General features: G+C 42.0%; 1 protein-coding gene across 11 annotated transcripts in view, besides 2 other annotated features; it reads right to left on the reverse strand.

Annotated features, from left to right (window-relative positions):
• Positions 1-17,940, reverse strand: part of PARD3 (par-3 family cell polarity regulator) — a 705,736-nt gene that overhangs the window by 532,845 nt on the left and 154,951 nt on the right. The window lies entirely within an intron of this gene.
• Positions 6,849-6,948: an enhancer, noted in NCBI's record as "active region_3255". NCBI's record gives its function as "activates an Ori minimal core promoter by ATAC-STARR-seq in GM12878 lymphoblastoid cells {active_cell/tissue: GM12878}" and the evidence as "EXISTENCE:reporter gene assay evidence [ECO:0000049][PMID:35858748]".
• Positions 7,892-8,091: a silencer, noted in NCBI's record as "silent region_2292". NCBI's record gives its function as "represses an Ori minimal core promoter by ATAC-STARR-seq in GM12878 lymphoblastoid cells {active_cell/tissue: GM12878}" and the evidence as "EXISTENCE:reporter gene assay evidence [ECO:0000049][PMID:35858748]".

Here is a 17,940-nt window from a genome sequence, read left to right on the forward strand (position 1 = left end):
GCCTCTCACGGCCTTCCACTCACTCTGCCCCACACCCTGGCTCTGCCTCACCAGCCTGCTCTTCCTGAGACCCTGAGTCACTCCACCTGGCGGAGAACTTCCAGGTCCATTTCTCCTCCCCAGGCCTCTCCTAAGCCCCTAGTTTGATTACCTGCACAAACTGCAATTTGAATGCCACATGGCACCCCCACTCGGCATGCCCCAAATTTGCTAAGTGACTGCCCAAATGTCTTCCCTTCTCTGTGGTACCCATGATAAACCCTGAGGACAGCTACCTAGACGGCCCCCTCCCCATGACCCCCACGAGAGCCCTTCCAATCCACCTCCCTAAATAGCATCTCTCAAATCTGGCCACTTTGCCCTCTTTCCACTGCTGGTCAGAGCTACCCACACCTCCTGCCTAGACTACAGGGCCTCTTACCTGGCTCCATCACCTACAGTGCAGCCAGATGACCTTATTAACGCTCAAGCCTGATCACTCTCCAGCAGACCCCCAGCTCTGTGGCTTCCCATTGCCCTGATAACTGACTGGGAAACCTTCATATGCCCAGAAGGGCCTTTGCTGAAATGCTCCCCCATCAGAGAAAGTGGACTTGGCCTAAGACCCTACTGCACACATCCAGTGTTCTATCCTGCCCTGTGGACTCCGTCACACTGATCTCCACCTGAGGCGGCACCATCAATCCCCCCACAACATAAAAATCACAAGCACAGAAGGCAGCTTGCTCGGGAACCTGGAATCGGCTGGGTCCTGCAGTCACTCAGCGTCTGCTGGCTGGAGGGACAGAAGGCCCCACGGCTCTCACTGGCTCACCTGGAGCCCCCTCGTCTTGTGTCTAACTCTCCCTTTATGTGTTCTGTGGTACAACTTCAGCTCCTAACTGTGCGTCCTCATTGCCTCAAGTTTACAGTGTGAGTGCCATCAGGGCAGGGCCTCTGTGTCCTCTGCCTCATGTCTCCAGCCATAGCACATGAACAGAACCAGCTCAGCAAACCTCTGTCCAGTGAAAGTCAGTCTACATGCATTACAATAGTGCCTCTATGGCCAAAATACATCAAAGCATCAATTACTCACAGAAACATAAAACGAATAATAGAACAGGCATCAAGGCCTTCTGTAATTGTTAGTGCTTTGTTATGTATAAATATATTACCATAGAGAATTCCTTTAATTCAGAGCATTACACTTTAAAACAGCATCACTTCTCATGTAAATCTAAAATAAAATTATAGGTCAGGTGTGGCGGCTCACACCTATAATCAGTCTGAGAGGTACAACTGGGGAGGATCACCTGAGACCAGGAGTTAAAGGTTGGCCTGGGCAACATAGTGAGACTCCATCTCTACCAAAAAATTAGAAAATTAACTGGGCATGGTGGTGCGCACCTGTAGTCCCAGCTACTTGGGAGGCTGAGGTGGGAGGCTTGCTTGAGCCCAGCAGGTGGAGGCTGCACTGAGCTATGATTGCACCACTGCACTCTACCCTGGGCAACAGAGCGAGACCCTGTCTCCAAGTAAACAAATAAAAATAAAGAGAATTACAAAACACACAAGAGTGGAAGACTCCATGGAGGGATGTGTATGTGCCTTCGTGTGCACACATGTGTATGCGTGTGTTTTTCAGATTTTTAATTTACTGCTTGCATAAATTTTTTAGGCTGCAAAATACTACAAAACTGTCCACTGTGACTGGATACTGAACTCTGAAACCAATACAACACAGAAGAGACTAGAAACAAAATTCAAAACTATTTATCCCTGCCTGCCCTTTGGGGCTTCTAGAGTCAAATCTGCCAGCAACACATCTTAGTGCCTAAGACTGCAGCCCAGGGGAGACATCTGCCCTGCAGCTGAAAACTGATAAAACATAGAGAGGGACCCAAAGGACACAAAGTCTTTACCCAGCTCAGTGGGACTTTTCTAAGCTTAATATTTTAAAACTGCTTCATACAAGCAGCAGCTAAATCCCAAGGGCCAGCCCCACGCTCCGACAGTTCTCTGAAATGCTATGACATTAAGTGCAGGCTTATTCTCTGGTGCCACAGCATGGCTGGTGCCGGCTGACATGGCCCAGGGCAGCTGCAGGAGGGATTTGTGCTCAAGGTTTCAGGCATGTTAAACCCTTCAACCACTGCCAGTGCACAGGAAATCCCAAAATTCTTAACTGGTGGCTTATTTCAAGAACTAATCTAGGGAATAAGGACAAAAGATGTACCTTGACAGTCTCACTCTCATTTCTCAGGGTCATCACTTACGGGGTATAACAACTATGAAAAGCCTTTATGTTTGGCCACATCTTAGTGACTGATGGAGATCAGACCTTAATTTAGCACACACAGGTCTGCTAGGACAAGAGCATTCTCAGTGACAAAAACAGTGGAATTCAATTTCTCATACAGTTTATGAGTTGTAAGGAATCTAATTGCTGAATAGAGGTAAAACTACATGTTTTATTTATTTATTTTAGAAATAGGGTCTTACTCTGTCGCCCAGGCTGGAGTGCAATGATGAGATCCTGGCCCACTTCAGCCTTGAACTCCTGGGCTCAAGCAATCCTTCTGCATCAGCCTCCTGAATAGCTGGGACTACAGGCGAGTGCCACCACACCCAGCTAATTTTTTATATTTTGTAGTGATGGGGTCTCACTATGTTGCCCAGGCTGGTCTCAAACTCCTGGCCTCAAATGATCCTCTCGCCTTGGCCTTCCAAAGTGCTGGAATTACAGGCATGAGCCATCACACCCAGCCAACACTATTTTTATTTTATTTTATTTTATTTTATTTTTATTTTATTTTGATTTATTTTATTTTATTTTTTGGAGACACAGTTTCACTCTGTCACCCAGACTGGAGTGCAGTGATATGATCTCGGCTCACTGTAACCTCTACCTCCCAGGTTCAAGAGATTCTCATGCCTCAGCCTCCCCAGTAGCTGGAATTACAGGCGCATACCACCACGCCCAACTAATTTTTGTATTATTAGTAGAGACGGGGTTTCATCGTGTTGACCAGGCTGGTCTCGAACTCCTGACGTCAAGTGATCCACCTGCCTCAGCCTCCCAAAGTGCTGGGATTACAGGTGTGATCCACTGTGCCTGGCCAAGACTACATATTTTAAATGAGCAAAATAAAGCCTCTACATTATGCTAAATTTACTTGTAACCCTGGATTATTTACCAAATTTTCCAAAACAGGTATCTCTTACCATCTGACCAGCAGACAGTATGGCTTAAAGAAAACAGCATGAAATAAACCAAGATACGCAGAATCTAGAAGTCGCTCTGCAGCTGCGGCTGGGAGCAACTAAGTATCTCTGCAGGTGCCTGTTCTCACTGGGATATTAAGAAACCAAGCGTTTTAAAAAGCAGACATGTGGACAAACGAAAGGTTATCAGCTGATGAGCAGATTTTTAGAGCAAATTATTAAAACGTGTTACTATATCTGACATGTTCTAATTCTTCCCCGTTTTATTTTTAGATACCATTTTACTACTAAGAGTAAAACTCCAAGCTAAAATCCAAAATGGAAAAGAAAATCTCTTTAACTGATTAGCTCTTGGGAGAATCACCAGGACAACACAGAACCGGGATAAGAGTATATGTTGTAGGAACTAGGCCAGAACCCCCAAAACATAGCGAGACGCAGGAACAGTCACAAAATAGCATTCTTCACAAAACAGGCAAGTTAGAAATAACTGAATATATGGTTATCATATGTAACCACTCACAGTCAAATAAATTGTTTTACCTAAATAAAAACCATCAATAACTCCTCATTTTTGTTTTTGGATTAGTATAGATGAATGACTACAATTAGCTAAGCATTTTTTTGTAATCGTGATTAAGTCCAGGTACATGAAAAACAAACTCAACTCCCTGATGAATAATTTAGAAAATAATATACTTTATTACTGAAATTTTGCCCTAAAGCTTTCTCTGCTGTCCAAATAATTTCCCAACTGCATTTCAAATTAAACTCCTAAGTTTTCACCTCTCTCCCCAGGGTGTTTTTCTGCATTACAACATATTTTAATATGTTTAAATGATAGCAATGCTATAAAGTGTTATTTCTCACTGCAAACAGATTAATATCACTTCATACCTCAGAGAGCATAATAGTAATAAGGTAATAAAACAAAGCAGGATCATCACCACTAATAACCTGAGAGGGAAGTCCTGCTAAGACTTCATCTCTATCACGGAATATTCTTGGTCATTACTTAGATGGGAGCGTTTCCCACATCACATCTCTAATTCAGTAATTGCTTTTCGTGTGCGTGAGACAAGGTCTCGTTCTGTCGCCCAGGCTGGAGTGCAATAGCACAATCATAGCTCACTGCAGCCACCACTTCCCTGCCCCAAGTGATTCTCCTTAGTGATTCTACCTTAGCCTCCCAAGCAGCTGGGACCCACAGGTATATGCCACCACCTTCAGCTACGATTTTTTATTATCATTATTTTTTTGCAGGCTGACAGGGTCTCCCTATATTGCCCAGGCTTGCATGCACTTTTATATAATTACTGTCTTCCTCCCCAAATTTCCATATACCTCTGATGGTCTCATAACATGTTTGACATCAGAACCATACAACTCCCACTTGGGTATTTATTTTTTGGAAGTGTGAACATATTTGCTTTTATTTCAGCAAAGAGCTTTATTAACTACTCATTCATTCTGACTGCTATAGTATGCTTTAAAGAAGGCTTTTTATACCTGGAACTTCAGGATGTCTGTAGTTAACCAGAATCACGTTTTGAAGATCCATCCATTATTCATCCCTTCCTGTGAATAACCTCACAATGTTCATTATTTATTATAAACAACAAGTCATAAGCTGGAGTCTAAGCCCATGAGGACAGGGGCTTTGTCTCCATTCACTACTGCATCCCAGCATCTGGAAGAGCACACCGCACACAGTAGTATGTACTCACTGAAGGGAGGAGCGGATGAGTTAAACAGGGAAGGTCACTTCAAAGTGTCCGTTTTGCACGGGTTTCGCAAAGCCAGCAGTCCTACTGATAAGACTCCACAAATTTAAAGTTGTTCTGTATTCTAACACATAAATAGTACCAGGGCAGTAACAACGAAAACGTTAAGGACTTTTCAAGCCCACAGAAAATACAAAAAATCTGTCACAGTTTATATTCCAAAAAGTTCTTTTTTTCTAGTTTTTCTCTTTTAAGCTTTGCTGGGCTTTAGACTGCACCTTTTCTCGATGCAGTCAATGCACCACACTTAACGTGTAGCTCTTTTTTTCCATTATCATAACTTAAATTGCACTTCTAATTATCTTTTAGCTAAAATGCAAGCAAACATAAAGCTTCCCTTTCTATCTTCTCATCCATATTTGTAGTTGCTAAGGCCTATTTGAGAGAAATCGTAGGGTAGGTCAGTTTTTGCAAATATTCAACCAAGAAATGATAAATATATTTGGAAGCCTAGCTTTGTATTGTTTGAAGCTAGCAGCTGGAGTAGGGATATTTAAGTGCTGCTTCCTGGGCCCAAATTAAAACCTCAGAGAATGGGATCAAAGAGGAGGGTGCAGTGAGACCCCTGACATTTCATTATTCTTCTCTGTACATGTAGATATGTGCCAATTCTAGACAGGAGTCCAACATACAAATAATATCTGAAGTACTCAGGAATCTGTTTATAAATAGAAATATCTACTTCATCCCGGGATCGCCATGCGGCCTGCACATGAGTCTGAGGACTGCATTTGATTTATACAAACAGACTCAAACCTCGTCTTAAAATGCATATGTGAACCCCAGATGCAAACCTATAAAGCCCAGTTGAACTGCAGAGCAACTGTAATAAATGCAATAATGTTAAGTCAGCTTCAAAGACATTCTTCAAAGAAACTCCAAAAACTTTCATGAATGTTTTATAGTTATTTTTAATATTGATGTATTTCATCTTAAAACCAATGCCAAGAGCTGCCGTGAATGGCTCATCTTTTCATGCTGGTGTGCTGCTTGGAGTCTCTCAGAAGACCAAAAATTACTTCACAATACTGCAAGATCTAAACCAGTGGCCCCCAACTTTTTTTTGGCAACAAGGACCAGTTTCATGTAAGACAATTTTTCCACAAATGGGGGCTTGGGAGGATGGTTTCAGGATGAAACCATCTGGCCTCCGCCTCAGATCATCAGGCATTAGTTAGATTCTCAAAAGGGGCGTGCAACCTAGATCCCTCACACACAGTTCCGCTAACACCGATGCTGACCTGACAGGCGGCGGAGCTCAGTCAGTAATGCTCCCTCCCCTGCTGCTCACCTCCTGCTGTGCAGCCTGGCTCCTAATGGGCCATGGACCAGTACCACACAGTGGTCTGCGGGTTGGGGACCCCTGATATAAACAATACTACACAATGTGAAAATCTATGTCCTTGTATGTGACATTTTTAAGGAAGCCCAGCAATCTCAGAGGGCCAGTCACTTCACACATCCTAGATGAACCAGGAGTCCTGCTGTTCTCTGGGGAATGGCCAGGATAAACTCATTATGGTCACTTACAAATGAATCCTCCAAACAAGGGACACCATCATCATCAGTTTTAAATATGGCTGTGGAGCTACGTCTGCTAAGCATTAAATGAACCAAGTTTGGGAGATTCCTGAACTTTGATGGATTTATAGCCCCAAAAGTCACAGCTGACAGATGACTGTACAAGTAGCCAGTAAAGGCCAGGCATGACATGAGCATACAGAGACATGCATCGCTTAACAGGGGCACACTCATTCTGAGAGACGCATGGCTTGGGCACAGGACTCACACCTGTAATCTCAGCACTTCGGGAGCCAAGGAAGGAGGATTATTTGAGCTCAGGAGTTTGAGATCGGCCTGGGAAACACAGCAAGGCCTTATCTCCATAATTAATTAAGGTAAAACAGAAATGTGTGATTCAGGGATTTCATAGTTGTGCCATCAGGCTAGAGTGCACTTACACAGACCTAGAGGGTAGAGCCTCCTACACACCTAGGCTACATGGCATAGCCTCTTGCTCCTAGGCTACAAACCTGTACAACGTGTTATTGTCTTGAATACTGTAGGCAACTGGAACACAATGGTAAGTATTTGTGCATCCAAACATAGACAAGGTACAGTCAAACATATGGTATAAAGGGTGAATGATGGTATGCCCATGCAGGGCACTCACCATGAATGGAGCTTGCGGGACTGGAAGTTGCCCTGGGTGAGTGAGTGAGTGGTGAGTGAGTGTCGAGGCCAAAGGCATGAGTGTACACCACTGTAAACTTTAGAAACACTGCATGCTTAGGCTACACTACATTTTCTAAAGATTCTTTCTTCCACAATAAATTAAACTTAGATTACTGTAACTTTTTTACTTTATATACTTTTAATTTTTTCAACTTTTTGACTCATAATAACACTTGGCTTAAACACACACACATTGGACAACTGTACAAAAATATTTCCTTTCTATCCTTATCCTATAAACTTTTTTCCATTTTTAAATTATGGTTTTTTACTTTGTAAACATTGTTGGGAAAAACTAAGACACACACACACACACATTAGCCTAGACCTACACAGGGTCAGGATCATCAACATCACTGTCTTCCACCAGCACCTCTGTCCCACTGGAAGGGCTTCAGAGGTGACAGCACACATGGAGCTGCCATCTTCTGGAAACCTCCTGAAGGCCCTGCCTGAAGCTGTTTTACAACGGGCTTTTTTTTAAAGAAGGATGACTCTCTAAAATAACAATAAAAAGTACAGTAAATACATAAGCCAGTAACAGAGTCAAAGATTGTCATGATCAAGCACCATGCACCGTGCACAACTGTATGTGCTAGACGTTTATACAACCACAGCACAGTAGGTTTCTTCACAGCAGCATCACCAAAGACACCTAAGGACTGCACTGCAGGTCGACACTACGACGTCACTAGACAATAGGAACTTCTCAGTTCCATTATAATCTGACGGGACCATTGTGGTTTATGTGGTCCATCACTGACTGAAATGCTTTTATGCTGCACGTGACTGTATTTGTATTTGCATGTGAACTGCTAAGCCAAAGACAGCACATGCATCTTGTGGGGTGACGAATAGGGTGTGCAGTGAGACCTGTGTGCCTGGGCAGGGGGAGAACTCTAAAGATGAAGTGGACATTTTTTTTTAAGTTGCTTCAATGATTACAGAAAGCCAGACAAAAACTGAGTCTTGAGGATTGCTCTTAGAAATTGTCTTCATAATCAATTCACACATGAAGGTACACATTGCCAGCACTTAGGTCAGAAAGCACAAAAGAACACTAAAATGAAAAACCAAAAAGTGCAAAAAGAAACACAGTCCAGCCGGGCACAGCGGCTCACGCCTGTAATCCCAGCACTTTGGGAGGCCGAGGTGGCCGGATCACCTGAGGTCAGGAGTTCAAGACCAGCCTGACCAACATGGAGAAATCTCGTCCCTACTAAAAATACAAAATTAGCCTGGCATGGTGGCATATGCCTGTAATCCCAGCTACTCGGGAGGCTGAGGCAGGAAAATCGCTTGAACCCAGGAGGCAGAGGTTGTGGTGAGCCGAGATTGTGCCATTGCACTCCAGACTGGGCAACAAGAACGAAACTCTGTCTCAAAAAAAAAAAAAAAAAAAAAAAAAAAAAAAAAAAAAAGGCAGTACACTGGCTCACACTTTGGATGCACTTCACTTCATGGTGGCGAAGGAATCACAGCCGCCCGCACAAGGCTGAGTGTGTGAGGAATTATGTGTTCCAGCTTCACTTTCACAAAATTACATGGTCCCAGCATCACTTTGACAAAAATTAGATTTTTGCTCCAAATGGCAAAAATCAATTAGTCAAATACTTTCCATGTCTTCTTTTTGTTGTTCTAAGAATGACACACACGTCCTCTTAAGACTAGTCTTTCTCTCACATACTGAGCACTCACAACCCTTTGATACTCCCCACTAAAGGGCATGTCACAGGCTTTCTCTGTGCAGAGGAAGAAGCCTGCACATAAAGAAGAGAAAGTGGGAAACGGATTTACACCAGGAATTGGTGAAGCCCCTTCCCTGCCCACCAGCCAGACGTGGGTGTCCCCTAGACAGAGACTACTGCTCTGGGCAGGAAGTGTGGACAATGAAGCCAAGGACTGCATTTTCTACAGCCAACCGCAGTCCCTGAAGAGGGGCTTGCAGTGAAGACAAAAACCATAAGCACTGCTGACAGATCAACAAAGGCCAGGCCATGCTGGTTGTTTTTTTGTAAGCGACGTTAATACAGTATGCTGGTAAGAGACCCGAGCTTTGCAAAAACTGTATCATATTAGTTACTTAGACCCATTTCATCATGGATAACAAGGAATTTTCTGTTTTTGGTAGAACAAAGTGGACAATTTGGCCACTTATCTTCTGCTCATGCTTTGGATTTCGACACAATTATTTTTTCCTAAGAAAGCTGTAAGTGAAATTCCCTTATTCCAGTTGTACCATACAATCACCCTCCTGGCAAATTTTATACTTCAGAGTGCAGTCACTTCATTGCTTAATGACTGGCCCCTAAGAAGTTCCAAGAAGCAGGCACAGTATCTGTTCTTGCTTAACAAGCAATCCCCACTGTCAGTCGCAGCATCTGACCCACACGGCCAGCATTTTTTCCTCCGGGTTCTCACTGAGCTCCCAAGCAAGCTGGCTGGAATTTGCTGTTGTTAGAGACAGGGTCTCACTATGCTTCCCGTGCTACATCTGAACTCCTGGGCTCAAGTGATTCTCCCACCTCAGCCTTCTAAGCAGCTGGGACAAGAAGCATACGCCACTGCACCAGGCTCGCTGGCTGAAATTCTGTAAACACTAGCCTCTCTTCGTGTGTGATTTTGGGACAGGTTAACTACTTTGCTGGTCCACTACCAGTCATCAAGAAGTATGTCAAGGAGCAAGGACAGAGGCTATTGGCTGAGATGAAAAGAATAATGGCCCAAGAAGCTTTCACATATGGGTGTGATGGGGAGAGGGGTCTTACTTTCTTAGGCAAGTCACATTTCACTTTCTTCCCAAGCTAACCACCAGAACCCAGAAAACAGGGAATGCGTCTAGTTTGAGAAGTTTGCTGAAGGACCACTTAGATGGTGAAGCCAGCAGGGTAGAGATGTGATAGAAATACGACTCCAAGACAGTCAATATTCTTCAAGTAACAGACAATAGCATAGATACGGATGGATCGGCCTCACATAAAAACAATGCCCTTACTGAAATGCACGCTGTTTGGGGAATGGATCACATCTCACTCACACCTAACAAGGAAATGACTGCCCTCTCGCAGTGTGCTGAGGATTTCCCTAGAAGACTCCATGAGGAAAAGACAGGCATGCATATACATTCTAGAAAATGAAAATACGTTAGTGCAAGGCAGACTGCAACCATAACTAACCACCATGTGAATTCTTTAGTTATAAGAAGGAGCTTACATATAAAGTTAACAGTGCGTAAGTGGGTTAGATTTTGGCTGTTATATAAAAATTTGCATTTCAAATAAACAATGAGTAGCTAAGGCAAATGGATGAGCCCGGAGGACATTTAAACGGAAGTGCTCATTTTAATGACAAACCTTAGAGCTCTAAAGGAAGGGAGGGGGCACAGACTCGCAAAAAACAACAACAACAACAAAAAAACACACATGCTTAAGAGAACAAAGTGTGTTATGTGTTAGCATGGATCACTTTCAAGGATGAGAAAGGTTTGGAGGGTCTTATATAAGTGATAGTAATCAGAAAAATGGTATTTTGGGCTGTTACAAGGACTGTATTCTTTAGGGGGGAAGCAAATTACGTTCGAACATTAAAAAAAGATAATATCTGAGAGTAGAACCCATTGAGGAAAACAGCCTGTTTCTGATACTAAAATGTGCAACATGTGATGTCCTTCTAGAGCCCCTGACTCACATCATGCTCTCTTAGACAGCAAGGAAGAATCCCACTGGCTTCTTCCCTCACATCCAATAATACTCTTTCCTCAGTCCCTCAACAAAAACAGGTTCATCACGTTTAAGCACTTGAAAAGCCATACATCTTCACCTTTGCCCTTGTTTTGACAAACTTTCTCTTCTCTGAAGAAAAAAGAAAAAAATGCTCCCACAAGGAACACAAAACCAGCATGTATAGCACGAGATACCACATGAACCATGATGATGAATCCAGGTTTGCAAGGTAAAGAGGAAAAGACTCAGACCAACATCACACTTTTATATAAAAATGCATTTGAAACTGCCAGGTGTGGTGGTGCACCTGTGGTCCCAGCTACACAAGAGGCTGAGGCAGGAGGATCACTTGAGCCCAGGAGCTCAAGGATGCAGTGAGCTATGTTCGCACCTGTGAATAGCCACCGCACTCTAGCCTGGGCAACATAGCAAGACCTCGACTCCAAAAAAAAAAAAAAAAAATGTATATGAAGATGGGATTTCTGGCCTTGATCATTCCAGAAGACCCTGAGATAGCCTCAGCATGTCCACTGGCTTAGATTTTGCTCTTTTTGACTTAGATTACTTGGAGATGTGATTACAGGGCTGAAAGAGAAATGTTTGTGCCCATGTACACAGACATGCACACCAATTATGGTAAGATGCATGCTTATACGTTGCTTCACATTAAGACAGAGGTGCATTAACAGAAAAACTCACACCTTGTCTTTATTAATTGCTTGAATATTAAACTGACAACCTTTATACAAACATGAATGTAATTGCATGGTTCTAATGGGGACTAGGTGTAGATAAACACATTTGGTGCCAGTAAAACTGTAAAAAAAAAAAAAAAAGTTCAAAGAACTACTGTAAACATTATTCCACTACTGGCTCCTGGGAAAGAATTTGCAAATACAAAAAAATGGCAAGAATAATAGCTAACATGTATAAGGTGATATCATATAACAATGTTTTCACCATCACAACATCCCATGCAATCGGTACAATTGTTATCATGATTTTACAGACGTGCTAAAAGGTTAAGTAACTTGCCCAAGGTCACACAGCCAATAAACAGCAGGGCTGAACTTCGAACTCAAGCCAACAGAATCCAAACTCTCTGCTCTAGAATCCAAGCTGCACTGCCTGCCTTTCTATGGAAAAATATCTATAACTCTCTACAGAATGGCACAAGTTCAACAGATGAAAAACAAAAATAGAGTTCCAGGTTCCACAAAAACTCCTGCATTGCTAAGTTATATCACATTGAACACAAAAACCAATCACAATCTACTTCTTACTTCTCCATTTCCCACAACCCATTTGCCCTGCAATCACAAGATGCTCCAAGTTCACCTCTAATGTGGAGCTTTCAAGATCTTCCATCCTACAGCTCCTCCCAAGTCACTCTCCCGCAGACACTCTGCCGTGATATGGACACACACTGCACCTTTCCACATCTATGCTTTCCTTAATTCCGATCAATGTCCAAAACAATTTTGACCCCCACCTTTTCTGACATTGCCATCGCTCCGTGACTGCACACACCTGTTACCAGCTTTCCCCATCTACACTCCCGTTGCCTTACAGTAAGAACCATTAAATTAGCACTTAAAAATTACCTTATATTCTTGTTACGAAAACGGACGTGCCCAGGACAAATCCTTTTTCTGAGTCCAACATTTCCACCCACCATTTGCTGAGCACGTCAACAACTTTTACAGTAATAGTTGCAATTTGAACCTGTTAAGGAAACAGCTACTCCCTTTATCTAGTATCAAGTGACTTTTATGTGCCTTAACACACTTGCTCTGCAATCCTACCTGTGTTATAGTTACAATTTGAAGACGAGGTTTGTTCAAAGGAAAAATAAACTTAACACCCTATCAAATCATTACAAAGTGGAGTTCGAATTGTATGCAACATAAAGGTATATATGAGTTTCTCTTCTAAGGCCCCCATTTAGCTTTTTTCACAATGCACCTGTTTGTCTATAAATTGTTCTAGAATATTAGTTCACATTGATTTGTGTGTTTTATGTATAACACACAATAAGCACTGCCCTAGCCTGTGTTACTCCTGATCATACATGACTGTGGGTGTGTGTGAGATGGAGAGAAGTTCATGACATCACAACCAACCCTGGAGAAAAGTGCAGAATGGGGAGGAGCATAAATTACCAGCACACGATTCATACTCCAAAACTCCACTCTGATGTCTGGCTTTCAAGACCTTCCATTTTATGGCTCTTCCCAAGCTATTCTCTACCAACCCCGCAGAAGAGGGCAGAATGCAGAGGAGAGTAAATAAGGGGATGAGAACGCTGACGAATATAGCCATTGTCCCTTCCTCAAGAGCAGTAATAAAGTTACCTTACAAGCTGTTTAACCAAGAGCCTGGAGGATGACAATACAAAGAGTAGACACAAGGGGGAGCCAATGGGTCCATCTTAAAAGTAACTGGAGACCAGGAAATTGGGCTTTTAAGAACTTTAAATTCCACAAACAAGCCACAAAATGGGAATGAATGAAGTCTAAGAGTAACAACAGATGCCATGAAGGAAAGCAGCAAAGAGCAGGAGACACTGAGATTTCTGATTTTTAAATTCAGTTCTGAACTGAATTAAAAAACCAAAAGAATTTTTTTAATCGTGTTCTTCAACGTGAACTCAAAAACAAACAACATTTGAAAAGGATGACTTGGGAATGGCTCACTCACATACTAGCAAAATGTCAAAATTTTTTATGGTATACAAATTTGATGTTGAAGAAAAAAGTAAAGAGTAATTTTTAAAATTCCCTGCCTTTGTTAAACTTACTTAACACCACTGCCCCCCATAAACCACAAAAATTGTAATGTTAATGGGCTTCTCTTAGCTTCTCCTATATTGTATTCTACTTTTAACCTTCAAGATAAAAAAAAACCTATCTGAAATGCATGTCAGTTCCACATAAACTGACCTTAATTCCAGGAAGTGTTCTATGATAAATATATTGTCAGTAAAGGTTTTAAATATTGCTACTAAAGATGTAATTATAGATGCTCAAGTTTTCGTACTATTGAAGTACATTAATTAAAACTTGGCACAGTTGAAATCAGAGAACATATGAAAGGAGAGTGACGTGCATTTCATATCGAGGGTAGCATAATTATTACTTTTGATAAAGATGTTCGGAAGAAGGCGAGAGTGCTGTGCCTGTAATAACCTTAATCATCATTCAATACAAAAGAACCAATCCATCAAAATCCAAAAGGATTTGCTTATTGTTATGCTTTTAGAAAGCTCATCAGGTATTTCCAAAAGCTTCCTAATGACAATAATTAAACATCTGGTAATGGTGACCTACTTGTGGCTGCTGAACTTCCTTGGATAGTCTTTTCCATTAATTATGTACATGCTGGGAACTGAGAGAGAATTTACATTATGAATAATAACTCAGGGCCGCAGGAGAAGTCAGAAACCGACAGGGGCAACTCCCTGCTGTCCTCACTGCTATCTGTATTAAGGCCTTGTTAGCGCTCTTGTATTTGGGAACAGATGCTACATAAAAATTGCAAAAGCATCAAGCTAAGGCATGCATGCATCTTGATGTAAACATGTTGTGAGGAAACAGCCTTCTAATAAACATTCAACACTGTGCCTAAGGGAGAGAAGAGACAAGCTGTCACATTTTCTACTTTTTACTCTGTGTAGAATTACGATCTGATGCAAACTTTGACCCTAAACTTATCAAATAAGGCCCAGGTCTGTTCTAGCCTTGGCAATTGCATAAATAAGAAAAGCCAGATCACAGCTGGGCACGATGGCTCATGTCCGTAATTCCAGCACCTCTGGGAGGGCTGATTGAGGCCATAAGTTTGAGATCAGCCTGGGCAACAGAGGAGATCCCACCTCTACCAAAAAAAAAAAAGTCAGAAAAGCCAGATCGAGAACATGCACACTTTCAAACATTTCATAGTTCCTTAAATTTCAGGGTGAAATGGGAGAGAAAGGTAGGAACTGAGACAATGATGTTTGTATTGGCCTGAAATTCATCTGGTGATGAAATAATTATTGTCCAAAAAAAAAGTCTACTTCGATCTATTTGACAATCACCTGATAACCATTTATTCTCATTGGATCTGTGTCCTTCCCCAAAGCCACATGATTTTAGTAATTAACACATCACTGTCACCTTTCTGCTTCTCAGTTTTGTTTTGTTTGTTTGTTTGTTTGTTTGTTTTGAGACGGAGTCTTGTTCTGTTGCCCAGACTGGAGTACAGTGGCACGATCTTGGCTCACTGCAACCTCCGCCTCCTGGGTTCAAGTGATTCTCCTGTCTCAGCCTCCCGAGTAGCTGGGATTACAGGCACACGCCACCACGCCTGGCTAATTTTTGTATTTTTAGTAGAGACGTGGTTTCGCCATGTTGGCCAAGCTGGTCTCAAATTCCTGACCTCAGGTGATCCGCCTGCCTGGGCCTCCCAAAGTGCTGGGATTACAGGCACGAGCCACCACACCTAGCCACTTCTCAGCTTTTTAAGAGATCAACAGCCAGGCGCGGTGGCTCACGCCTATAATCCCAGCACTTTGGGAGGCCGAGGTGGGCGGATCACGAGGTCAGGAGATCGAGACTGTCCTAGCTAACACAGTGAAACCCTGTCTCTACTGAAAATACAAAAAATTAGCCGGGCGTGGTTGCAGGCACCTGTAGTCCCAGCTACTTGGGAGGCTGAGGCAGGAGAATGGCCTGAACCTGGGAGGCGGAGCTTCCAGTGAGCCGAGATTGCGCCACTGCACTCCAGCCTGGGCGACAGATCAAGACTCCGTCTCAAAAAAAAAAAAAAGAATCCACAACATAAGTGGATTTATTCAAATGTTTTTTTAAAAATGTGTTTTATACCTTTTGGTAAAGATGTAAAAATAAGTACTAGTACTAATAACTAGATACTATTTTAAATTACAATATTCCTTAGAATAAATTCAATTTGCTGAATTCTGAATATCATTTAATAAATGCCAAAAATAAGGTCAGGATCGAGTAAGGAAAACAAATCACAAAACAAATCCTTAATATAAGGAAGAGGGTAAACAGGTAACTGCAGCACACCTACCACCCGCGGAACTGAGGAAATTCGGTTATGAGAACCTGAAGCTTGAAGGCGGCACCAGGGGCAGACGGTACCCACCCTCCGAGGAGAAGATGCTGGGGGCTGGGGCTGAGGCTGAGGCTGAGGCATGAGGAGCTTAGCAGAAGGACCTCGGTGCTGATTCTGTTAAGGGGGCCTAAAGATGTGGACAGGGGGAAAAAATCTAAAAACGAGAAGGAACTGCCAATTAATGACTATTGCTGGGCAATGCAGACAGGAACAGGAAGCAAACAAGGGCCATGTCCCCCCTCCTGCCTGCCAGGCTCCAGCTCCCTCTAAAGCTCCAGGGAGCAGCTAGCAAAGGAGACGTCTCCTCGAAAAGCAGAGCACAAATGGCTGAACTGCAGCTGAGAAATAACAACTTAATCCTGGTGCATTCTGAGCCTCAATTTCCTCACCTATAAAATGGACAAAACACCAGAGCCCATTCACAGAGTTCACCACGTGTGTTAAAATAAGTACAGCATTTATAATTGTGCATGTCACAGAAGACATGCTAAATTTATATATATTATTTTCAAAGTGTTTTAGTTTCTACAATTTCACTGCTTAGAATTTACCTACAAATTCCATGTTCTTAGTGAAGAGTAAGGCAATGCAAGCGCACACACAGTACTGGCTTGGTACACACCCTCAGGAATCAGATCCTGAAAGGCACACCCAGCACAAAGTGAGGAACCAGGAAACCTGCACCTCCCAAGAGGCTCTGCCTCCAAGGAGCCTTGACACACAGGACAAACCAACACATGTCATCTGCCCTGAGTTTCCTCCACTAAATAACAGAGCAAGAATAAAATTATTTCTAAGGGTTTTGTTCCCAACATTTAAAAATGTTAATTACAAAAACTTTTTAGTTTTTTTAATGATCTAATTTGCCACACTTGCAAAAAAGTAGAGAGGATAATTTATTGAACTCCTATGTATCACTCACTCAGCTGTAGTAATTATTAATCTTCGCCAAAACTGTTTCATTGCTTCACTTTTTTTATTTTTGGCTGGGGTATTTTAAAGGAAGTGCCACTCACATTGTAGCACCCAGAGGCCATTTCTTAATGGTTCATAGGATAATGCTAGATGATACATAATAACATGTAAATGAAGACATAATAGCATACATGAATAAAGGTGTATGAATTCTTTTCCTTAAGGTACACATCTAGATCACTTTTTATTTTCCCCCCACTGTGAATCAATTTACATTTTTAATGTAAAAGGATGGTGAAAATGACTCCACTGAAAAAGCCACCAAGCTCCACTCAGGATAATACTATTAATTTCTAATTCATACCACCTGACTCAGTAAAGCCTTACTTCTCTTCTTCCTGTAGTGCAAGTTAGGTACCTAGTTAGAACCTGTTTTACTAAGCCAGGCCATCTAGGTTATAAAACACAAACCCAAGGGCCTTCAATGGTAGGTACTTTTTGCTTCCGCGCATGCATTTTCTTCCCTAGAAATAATCCATTCAAAGGTTATTTACATTAGCCACAAACTAGAATTAGCATCTTCATTTTCATAAAATGAATTTACCAAAAAGTACTCAGAAATCTCTCAGAATTTATTTAACTTTGTGGAAGGCAGAAAACATATTAATTTAAAATGCATATGTTTTCCCCAAATCTTCCCCTCTATTGTTGAAATAACCCATAACATCAATAACTCTAAGAAAACACAATGTAAACTGTAACCTAAAATACTAGCCAAACATAGCTACATATTACATGCAATTTTTCCCCTGCCTCTCCCTCCATTGTGTGTATTTCTCTCCCAACTCCAATTATTGGGAGAAGATAATTTTATAATTTGAAACTACAATTTCTAAACATTTCCTTGATTTTAATTAAAGCTTATCTCAGGACAGAAGTTTAGGTAACAACAAATAATA

Source organism: Homo sapiens, chromosome 10, assembly GCF_000001405.40.
Source record: "Homo sapiens chromosome 10, GRCh38.p14 Primary Assembly".
Taxonomy (NCBI): Eukaryota; Metazoa; Chordata; class Mammalia; order Primates; family Hominidae; genus Homo; species Homo sapiens.